Source organism: Homo sapiens, chromosome 11 (assembly GCF_000001405.40).
Source record: "Homo sapiens chromosome 11, GRCh38.p14 Primary Assembly".
Lineage (NCBI taxonomy): Eukaryota > Metazoa > Chordata > Mammalia > Primates > Hominidae > Homo > Homo sapiens.
The window spans coordinates 44305311-44315850 of NC_000011.10; the positions used below are offsets into that span (position 1 = coordinate 44305311).

A 10540-nucleotide genomic window follows, 5' to 3' on the forward strand; every position below is an offset into this window, starting at 1 on the left:
TTTTCTATTTAACAACTTTTGTGTTTGGACCAGACTGGTGAAGCAGGCTATGGAAATTAACAAAGTAAAAAATTAAAAGCATCTTCCTTCGCCATCCCTCCCTCCAAAATTAAACAACAGTCGCCCCTTCCTGAGCAGGCTTCAGTCCCAGGCTCGAGTTTTCCTGCGATCACCCCACAGTCACCCACAGCAGCTGTTGCTGCTTCTGTCGGGTTTTCGTTTCTGCCTTCTTTGGGTCGTCTCTTGTATACAAAACACACCCCAGTTCTCTAACTAAATTCAAATACGACCCCGGCAGAATTTACACATTTCGTGGTGCATGGATTGTGTCGGTGCAGGGGAAATAAATACCCTCTGGTATTTAACCACTGAGTCTAATTCGAAAAATCGGGACTGGGCCCCTAGGCGGCACCCCAGGGGCTCCAACCTGGCCCGCGCCTCCCCAGACCTTGGCGCTGAGAGCGCTGCTTTTGCGGGTGGGTGGACGGAGAGGTAACAATCTGCTTTCAACAAAAACCTGTCGCCACCGAATCGAAAGCGAAAGGGAAGGGAGAAGAGGGGCAGCTTCCCGCAGCGGCCCCGCGTCTCGGGACAGGTAGACTAGGACCAGTACGCGCCGGCTGCAGCTCCGGCGGTCGGATCCGGAGTTTGGGGGCGAGGCGCCGGAGTCCCTGCCCTGAGTACAGGGAGGCTCTCTGCGTCGCTGAGAAACGTCGGATCTCCAACCCGACATGTCTCCTGTGGCCCAGGCGGCCCGCCCTGGACTCGGGCAAGGAATTCAGGAGGCCAAAGAGCGGACCCAGAGTCTGGAGGGGAGAATGGTGAAGTCTTGGGTTGCAACAGAAGAGGGCTCGGTGGGGGCTCTTTCGTAAAAACGCGGTCTCCGCACCCAAAGGACACTGCGGAGCCGCCTTAATCGTCGTTCTTTTAGCACATTTGGGGAAAGGAAGGCCCAAGTTGGGGTAGGGACGCTTGCAGCCCGGGAGGGTTTCTCTCACCAACTCTTTCCGCAACCCGGTCCAGACCCGGCCAGCAGAGACTGGAGGCGGCTTCCCCGCCCCGCACTCCCTCGGCTTGGCCCAGGCTCAGCTGCCCGGGGCACCTTCCTTGCCGAGAGGCAATTGGACTCTGCCGGGAGTGGGCCCAGAAGTTGAGGCCCAGGAAGAGGCCTCCGAGCTTCCCCCTTTTGTTAGGTGTAGTTACACACGTGAAAGAACAGCTTTCGCCCCGACCTCCAGGGCTAGGAATGGTTGCCAGGTCTCAGCTGCCTGCCTGAAGACGGAGATCAGCCAGCGCCAGTACTGGCACCAAGGCCGCCCCTGCCTCCGACTTTCCCAATGCTCCTGGGAGCGTCTAAGGATTTTTCCTTGAACTCCATTTCTCCGCTTTTGAGTATATACACTCTCACAACTGTGGGAGAGAATCGTTGTCAATGCATGCCTCAGTTTTCCTGCTTGCTGGCAGGGTAGGGATCCCACTCCAGAGTCCCTCCTCCTGGCTACTTCTGTTAAGGGCAGAGCCTCATCTTTTGTATCCTCAGTTTCTCCATCTTAGACCTAACGCGCCTAATCCCTTTCCTAGAAGGACCAGACATCTCCTGGCTGGGGAGACTCAGCTGCTGAGAGAGGGAAAGAACAAACACTGACTTGCTGTTTATTGTTTGTGGCTTTGCCCCGAGCAGTGCCTCCATCTTAGGCAGCATGGAGTGGCGTCCTGCCGGTAGTTACAGGCTGCCTTTGGTCCCAGCCTGCAGTTTATGACCCAGAGCAGTGGCAGGGACTTGCCCTGTCCTCAGAATTGGGTGCTCTCGAGTTCCCAGCGGCTCGGAGATAGATAGGGATGGAAATGTGGGTGGGGGTTGGGAGGGGCAGGGGTAGCGGGGGCTCTTGCTCTTGCCTCTTGCTGTCTCTGCAGAGGCACATTTATGACCCAGTAAGGCCTTTCTGTTATCACCCCAGGATGCAGATGAGGAAACCGGGGTTTGGGAAGGTGTTTGCTGTCAGGTCACACTGCCACGGGTTAGGGGCAGTAGCGGGTCAAGTGGCTGGCCCTTTCCGTCAGCTCCAAAGGCTAGTGCAAGTAGAGGAAGGGCCAGGCTGGCTGTGGGGGCCCAGCAGGACACAGAGAGAGGGCTCAGGGGAGGCCAGGCCTCTCCGCCTTCCCTCTGGACCTGAAGGCATTTAACCAAGAGGTGGGGAGCTCCTTAGGCTCTCTTCTTGCCTAATGTATCAGCCTCTTCAGAGGTCTCACTGGTAATTTTCATTAAAATATGAAAATTCAATGCAGTGGAGAGAGAGCATGAGCTCTCTGGCTATGCAGGATGAACCTCCATGGGTCCCCTAGTCTGCGACCTGCCCTCACCTAATAGTCCTGAATGACAGGGACGAGCTGGGGCCTGCATCCCTGGGCTGGGAAGGACAGCCAGTACGGACAGGGCTGAGAGTCTCTGCTGGCTTAGCACGGAAAGAGTGCCTGTATGAGAGCTGTGTGTGTCCATGTGCGGAGCTGTGTGTGTCTGTGTGTGGAGCTGTGTGTGTCCATGTGTGGAGCTGTGTGTGTCCGTGTGTGGAGCTGTGGGTGTCCGTGTGTGGAGCTGTGGGTGTCTGTGTGTGGAGCAGTGGGTGTCTGTGTGTGGAACTGTGTGTGCCTGCATGTGGAGCTGTGGGTGTCTGTGTGTGGAGCCTTGGGGGTCTGTGATCTGAATGCCTGATCTCATTCCAACTGGAGGTGAAGAGGAAGGTGGAGGAAGTGGGGAAGGGCCACTGAATCTTTCTAAATCTTCTCTCAGTTCTGTCCTATGGGTTTGGGAGTATGTGGCTCATTCGAGGCCACATGGGCATGTGTTCTTGGGGTATGACCACATCGGCTCCTAAAGAAGATGCTCTCTGCGTGTGTGTGTGTAGAGTGCAATTGTAGACAAGCATATGACTGTGAATGTTTGTCAGCAGCCATCTATGAACTAGTTCTGCGCCTGTGAAAGAAGGAACCTGAATACGAGAAAATATCTGCCATCGGCTGTTTTCCCAAAGTTATTCTAGCCACCAAGGCCTCCGCCGTGTCCCAGCCTCTGTCCCCAGGCCTAGTGCCTCTCCATCAGCCTGGATCAGGGCAAATTCCCTGCCCCCAACTCTTCCCACCAGGGCCGGACCTGAAGGCCAAGGCCTCCGGGTATGTGCTCAGGACTCCTGGCCCAGAGAAGGTTTTTCCCTTTCTGCGTCTTTGCTTCCCCTTCCGCTTTGGGGTTCAGGAACCCCGATTCTCTGGAAGAAGAGAAGGCCTAGGCTACTGAGCTGCTCTGGCTAGAGACGTCCTTGAGTGTCTCTCTCTCCCGGGCAATGGTGGCTGTGCTCTGGGGGGCCCAGGCCTGCCTCCTGTGGCTGCGTTCAAGGCAGCTTGGAGGTCATTTAGGCCAGCTCCCCCGGGTTCCCCGTGGGCTCAAATCAGGACCCAGACCCTTCTCTCTTGCCACAGCTCTGGGCCACCTGGGACTCGGGACTTCCTGTCTCCCTTCCTACTCTGTCCTAAACCATTGTTCAGAGGCCTGCCGCCTCCAAGAATCGCCGAGGGAGAAGCTCCAGGGGAACTGGCCTGCCCGCATCCCCACTGCCAGTAGCGCTCAGGGTCCCAGGACTCGGGTCTTGCCAGACCACAGTGTCCCCTGGGACCCTAGGGTCTCTGGCTCCGCACTGTGTTGCGCCAGTGCGCCTGGATTTCCCGTGAGCTTTCGGCCAACCACGCTCCGGGCTTCCCGCCTGGCTCCGCACCTGCGGCGCTCTCACCTGCGGCGGCGCCGCCCGAGGAGCCTCCCAGCCGGCGAGGAGCGAGGCTTCTGCAGTCCTGCTGTCCCGCAGCCCCGCAGCCCCGCAGCCTCGCAGCCCCGCAGCCCCGCAGCCCCGCAGCCCCGCAGCCCCGCAGCCCAGCGCCAGAGCGCTGCGCGGAGACTCCTTGCCGCCGCACGCCCTGGGCCGGTAAGAAGCATCCGCTTCAAATCCCGCCCAGCGGGCAGCGCAAAGCGAGCGGTTTGGGGAAATGCCGAAGGGACCGGGAAAAACAAACTCCAAGTCGAGTTTAACAGCCGAAACGCTCCGTGCCTAGGCCGGCGGACAAGAAGGAGACAGAACAGATCCCTTGGCTCCCTCGCAGCGATCGATCCCGTTTACCGACCAGAGTCACCACCCCGCCCCCAGCCCGCCAACTCATACCTCCCGCAAGCCACCAGTTTCAAGGGATGCGGAAGCCAAGCACCCCGTGGTCCCCAGCACCAGGTGACCCGCACGTGCACTCACCGTAGCAGGGAACCTGCAAGGCCGCGCTGTGGCCGCTGCTGCCTTCCTGGAGTTTGAGGCTGCCGTCCGGGGGCGTCTTGCAGGCGCCTCGCTGCAAGTAAAGATGCGGTTGCGCGGGCGGCTGGGGCTGCGGCTGCTGCTGCTGCGGCTGCGGCTGCGGCGGCGGCTGGGGCTGCGGGGTCGACGGCTGGGGCTGGAACTTGTTAAAGGAGCCCCGCGCCCCAGCTCCACTCTCCAGGGGTGTCGCCAGGTCCTGCTGCCCAGCGCCGTAACGGGCCCGGCTCTTGGCGTCCCCGAATCCCTGTGCTTTGGCGGCGGCCGACAGGAAAGTTGTGCCGAACTTGTCGCCTCCGGGAAATGCCCTAAAAGGCGACGAGCCCTCCCGACTCTGCGACACCGGGCTGTAGTAGGCGTCCATGGCAGCGGCCGGCGACTCGCAGTAAGAGACGCAAGTCTCAGCATTCATGCCTGGCTTGCGCAGGCGGCGGGCGGGGACGCGAGCGAGGGCGCGAGGACGCCACCGCGCGCCTTGGCTGGGAGTTTGGGGAGGCGAGGAGGCTGTGGCTGTGCACTCCTTGCCCGGCCTGCTCGCTCTCCCTCCTCCCCTCCACGCCGGCCTCTCTCTCTCTCCCCCTCTTCTTTCTCTGTCTCTCTCCTCTCTCTCCCTCCTCTCTCTCTCTTCCCCTCCCTCCCCCCCCCTTCCTCTCTCTCTCCCTCTCTCTCTTTCCTCCCTCCCCACAGCTAGCCGAGGGAAAGAACGGAGGGCAGTAAAAAGATTCAGATGTTTCGGAAAGTTGACCAGATCTCCCAAACCCTCTTAAGGTTTTGCAGCGGAAAAAAAAAATAAGTAAATTTTTTTCCCTGCCTTGCTTCTTCCTTTCCCCCTCTCTCGTCCCCTCCTCCTCTCTCCTTCCACTGGCCCCTGCCCCCTCCTCTCCACTCTTAAGGAGATGCTACTAACTCGCTAGCGGGGATTCAACCCGGAGGCGCCCGAGGGCTTTTCCGATTCTAGGCGGGGCTGGGGAGATGCCAGGATCCCCAGGGCTCCCGAGGCTAGGCTGAGAATTGGCGGGGTGTCGGAGCTTTGCCTTAGGGCAAAGGGAAATGCAAATTTTAATGACAGGTTAAAAAAAAGCCCCCCAAAATAAACCTAACAGGTTTTGACATTCGAAGCCAGGGGGACCACGGGCCTGCGGATGCAAGCGAGTCCTACGGACTCCTGCGCGCGAGCTCGCGGGCGCCGCTGCGGGCCTTCCCGCTGGCACCTTTTCCTAGGTTTCCAACCTTCCTCCCCATTCCCGTTCCTACGGGAGATTAACACACACACAAGCCTTCGTCGTCCAGTGCATGGTCACTTGCACGTCTTGTTAACTATTTCCCTCTGCTGTAAGGGCGCTGGGCTGGGATGTAGCGGAATCTGTGCTCCCTCAAGCCCTGGAGAAGCCCTGGGCTGGGCCCGGCTTCAGAAGCTTTAGAGCGCTGCCCTCTGCGCTCCCGTCTAGAGGCCGCACCGTTCACGCCCCACGTCTGCGCCCAGGCGAGGGGATTTCCTGCCAGGCGAAGTACAGAGAGCGGACTCTGGAGACCCCCTGACCTTGCCCGATAGTCGCGCTGTCACCTGTTCACTCCTTGGGGTCAGGGGTCGGGGAGAGGGGTGAGACCGTCTCTTCCCTTTCTGGCCTCACTGCCCCCGACTGTAAAACGAACTGCTTGGTTTTGATAGGTTGTGGTTTCACCACCACTGCGAGCCTCAAGGCCCCTGGCACCGCCACAGCAAGGGAAAAAACTTTGCGCGTGCAGCCCCTCGATTTCGCTTCATGACAACCGTGCTAGAGATTGGCGCCCCCAATTTTCTGATGAGCTAACGGAGGCTCAGAGAGGGGCGGCCACCTGGTCCAGGTCACACAGCTGGGAAATAGCCGTCGCGCCCTGGAACCTCTGCTCAGGCTAGTCCCTCCACCGACCTGGAAGGCCGTGCGGACAGCGTAGATGCAGAGGGGAAACTGGCCCCCGGCTGTGGAATGGTTCAAGTTGAAGGAGACCAGCGAGAGCAGCCTTCCTTAAACCGCTGAGAAAATCGTTAAGCGAGAACGTACCTCTAGGGAGTCTGGGAGTAGGGTGAGAGGTAAAAGTGCAAGGTAAAATTAAAGAGGGCCTGAGCACCGTGAACCAAGGAATGTGGGTCAGATGTCAACTTTCTGCATCTAAGGTCTCCCAAAGAAAAAATATACCTGGGGGGTCGCGCTTCTGCTCCCAATCTCATCTGGGCTAATTCTTACCCCCACCCTACCCCCTTAGTATCTCTGGTCCTTGCTCCGCCGCCGACCGCGCGATCCCACATCTGGTTTCCATCGCCGGCTTACCTTGAAGTGCTCGTTAATAAAGATATTCCGCAAACCAAGCCAGGAGCGCGCAGGCTCCAGCCGCCCCCCACTCCATGCCCAATGGGAACCGCGCCTCACTGGCCCGCAGACCTAAGCCACTTGAGAGTCCTTTATTTATTGAGCTCCTGTTGTGCCAACAATCTGGCAATACAAGGCTTATCATACCCATTTTGCATATGGGTAGACTGAGACTCAACCAAAATAATTTTCCAGTTAGCAAAAAGCGGAGTGCTCCTGCCATCATCCTAAATGCTCCTGTCCAGCGGTTTCTTCAAGTTCCTAGAACCTGCCAAGGTCTCTAGCCTGTGCACTGTAGCATAGGTGGTTTCCCCTACCTGGAATTCCCTAAACTCATTCCTGCACTTTTGTCTGGCTAATGATTCAGAGTTCAGCCTAGAGCATCTTCCTCTAGGAAGACTTCCCGTCTCTCCTAGTTTAAGTTGACGCTTCCGTTTGCCTCATCTCCGTCCCAGATCTCGTGGTTGTCTGGTTGCCTGGCTATGAGTGTATCTCAACCCCACTAGTTGCCCCAGGGCAGCCTCCTACGTGCCTGGCACCCCACAAATATTTGTGGAATAAAAGATTAAACCTGGACCAGGCGCGGTGGCTCACACCTGTAATCCCAGCACTTTAGGAGGCCAAGGAGGATGGATCACAAGGTCAGGAGATCGACACCATCCTGGCTAACACGGTGAAACCCTGTCTCTACTAAAAATACAAAAATTAGCCAGACGTGATGGCAGACGCATGTAGTCCCAGCTACTTGGGAGGCTGAGGCAGGAGAATGGCGTGAACCAGGGAGGCAGAGCTTGCAGTGAGCCGAGTTTGTGCCACTGCACTCCAGCATGGGCGACAGGGCGACAGGGTGAGACTCCGTCTCAAAAAAAAAAATAAATAAATAAAAATAAAATAAAATAAAGATTAAACCTGGGGCTGTAGGACTCTATCACCTCAGTGTATTCCAACTGCTCAGTGCAGCACCAAGTTCTGAGACTCTTTCTTTGGTTTCCCTTAGTCAAGGACAGCTGGTCACCCACCCACCCCCTCTTCAAAAATCAAGTAGCGGAATTAACAGCGTGCTGGACCTTCCTGAGCCTGTGCCTTGAGAGCAGTGAGTTTTCTCACAGCAGGGGCCAGGTCTGTCTTGTTCGCTGTAGGGCTTGGCACTCATAAAATGCTTGTTGAGTGAATGAATGAAAGTGTCCTATGGTTCCCAGGGGCTTAGAGATGCATTTTTTTGTCAAGGAGTTCCAAGCCAGCCGCCTACTCCAGTCTCCTGTGCCCAGCAGCTGCCTGTAGGCACCCAGAAGGTGGTGGCAATACCCCCGCTTCTTTCTCCACCTCCATTCCTGTCTAAAAAATGAGGGAAGGACTATGAGAGGCAAATTGTGGTGGAGAGGGTTGGGGTGGGGATGACAACCCCGAGACAGGAACAATTGCAATTGTACACTCTTCCTAGAACCTCTGAACCAGGCGCACCCAATGCAAAAATTTGCTGTGTTTCATGAAGCATTTTTTGAGCATCACCTCGCCTCTTACCACCTAAACACTCTGAGCTTGTATTACCTGTTTAATTACTGCCTCGCTATTCAACCTTTCCCTGACCACCTGGATATTCAAACCCAAGGATTTCATGCCCTAAGCCAGAATCTTTCCTGTCTTGCCTGAGACCCTGTGTCCTTGGAACGAGCGCCTTTAGTCCTCCGCATTTTATCTTATAGATGCATCCAGGAAGAATGAGCGAGTGCCAACAAGTGAGAAAGTGCCTTGGGGACAACGTTCCGGGCAAGTCCTTTGAATGTGTGACCTGAAGCCCTCATGCAAACCTCCACCGACTCCCTCTCCTAGGTCCCTTCCAAAACATTCCAGGGACTGTGGTAATAAGAGCAGCTGGTTATTTCTGTTTGTGTTCAATCATTTGTTCCTCTATTGGTCCTTCCGTAGTTGAAAGTGGAACCACTCCCATCTGGTTCTTAAGCAAGGATGTAGGGCATCCTTCCAGCTTTCTGGCCACAGGGAGAGTGCTGGAGCCTGAGTCTGGGCCTGACTGCTGCTCTCCAGGTGCGTTATTTCTCCCGCAGCTGAGGCTCTCCCTGGCTTGCTGCCTGATTCCTGTCAGGTTCCTTCACACGCCAGGCAGTTTCTGCATGCCCAGTTACTTCACTGTGTACTGGGAGACCCAGGGGACTACACCCACCTCAGCAAGTCATGAAGTCATGTGCACCACTTGGCTGGAAGTTGCCAGCTCTGCAAATGGTGGAAGGCTATGATAACTGCTTCTAGTCCTGCACTCCCACCCCTGGCAAATGCTCCGCTGGCTGCCCCCTTCTCCCTCCCTTTTGCTTCTCCCAGTCAGCCCTCCAGGAGGCAGCTTCCACATTCTGTGGCCTCAGGCTCCAGGCTCCACACTTGGGAAGGGTGTGGGAACATGGTGAAGAAAAGCCTTTCTTCCTCAACCCTAGTGCTGGGTGTCACCTCCTCGCTGAGGCCTTCCTTCGCCACCCTAGCTACCCCGTCACATCGTCTTTTTCCTCCATAGCGTCTACCGTGATCTGATATTATCTCCCACATTTGTTAATGTACTTGGTTTATTGTCTGTGTTCTTCCTAGAATGCAAGTCCCTGGCCACTGTCTCCCCAGTACTGAGTGCAGTACTTGGCACACAGTGCTGCTCAGAAAATATATTGAATAGATGATTGAATGAATAGCCCAGAGGACTGCCCCTGGCTGGGGGGGTAGCTGCCCAGTCCTGGTGGCTCCGGTAGAGCCCAAGGGTGGGGGATTGAGTTGGTTAGAGGGTGCCCAGTGGGGAGAGAGCACAGCAGACTCTTTCTTTTTCTTTCTTTTCTTTCTTTCTTTTTTCGTTCTTTTTCCTTCCTTCCTTCCCTCTCTCTCCTTCCTTCCTTCTCTCTCTTTTCCTTCCTTCCTTCCTTCTTTCCTTCCTTCCCTCCCTCTGTCCTTTTTTCCTTCCTTCCTTCCTTCCTTGTCTCTCCTTCTCCCCTTCCTTCCTTCTCTCTCTCTTCCTTCCTTTCCTTCCTTCTTTCCTTCCTTACCTCCCTCCCTCCTTTTTTTCCCTTCCTTCCTTCCTCCCTCCCTCTCTCTCTCTCTTTTTTTCTTTCTTTCTTTCCCTTGAGATGGAGTCTTACTCTGTCGCCCAGGTTGGAGTGCAGTGGCACGATCTTGGCACACTGCAACCTCCATCTCCCAGGTTCAAGTGATTCTCCTGTCTCAGACTCCCGAGTAGCTAGGACTACAGGTGTGTGCCACCATGCCCGGCTAATTTTTTGTATTTTTAGTAGAGATGGGGTTTCACCGTGTTAGCCAGGATGGTCTCAATCTCCTGACCTCGTGATCCACCCACCTTGGCCTCTCAAAGTGCTGGGATTACAAGTGTGAGTCACTGCACCCAGCAGAGCCACCACCTTCAGTCTGAGCTGCCCTCTACTCCCCAATTATCTACTGCACTGCCACCCTGGCTGAGCACTGTGGACGTGTGATGAGGGGCACCCCGGCTCCACAGCCTGGCACCTACCTTCTATGTAACCTTGCCTGACTGACCCAAGCCTTGACTTCCATGTGAGTCAAATGGGGACTACGCCCACATCAGCAAGCCCTGTGCAGCACTTGGCTGGAAGTTGCCAGCTCTGCAAATGGCAGAAGGCTACAATAACTGAAGTGTGGGGTGGAAAGGACACTTTGGACACCGGCAGAAAAGACGGGAAGAGTCAAGATATGAAGCCGAGAAGCTTCTAAGTCTTGCATGGGAACCCTCCTGTCCTAAGGAACCCTGTGCACTCACCTCACACTCTAGAAATAACAACGTAATAGCCACAGCCTATCGGCAACTGTTACATTACAAGTCAGCCCTTG

General features: G+C 56.1%; 1 protein-coding gene across 1 annotated transcript in view, besides 1 other annotated feature; it reads right to left on the reverse strand.

The window, feature by feature from the left end:
- ALX4 (ALX homeobox 4) overlaps positions 1 to 4829 on the reverse strand; it is a 49700-nt gene extending 44871 nt beyond the window's left edge. Inside the window, exon 1 of the mRNA NM_021926.4 lies at positions 4287 to 4829. Coding sequence (NP_068745.2) covers positions 4287 to 4752 — 466 coding nt within the window. The 5' untranslated portion in view covers positions 4753 to 4829. The remainder of the gene's footprint in view (positions 1 to 4286) is intronic.
- Positions 4807 to 5735: an enhancer, noted in NCBI's record as "H3K4me1 hESC enhancer chr11:44331667-44332595 (GRCh37/hg19 assembly coordinates)". NCBI's record gives its function as "activates a minimal SCP1, AML or CMV promoter by ChIP-STARR-seq in naive and primed H9 embryonic stem cells {active_cell/tissue: H9 hESC(naive and primed)}" and the evidence as "EXISTENCE:reporter gene assay evidence [ECO:0000049][PMID:30033119]".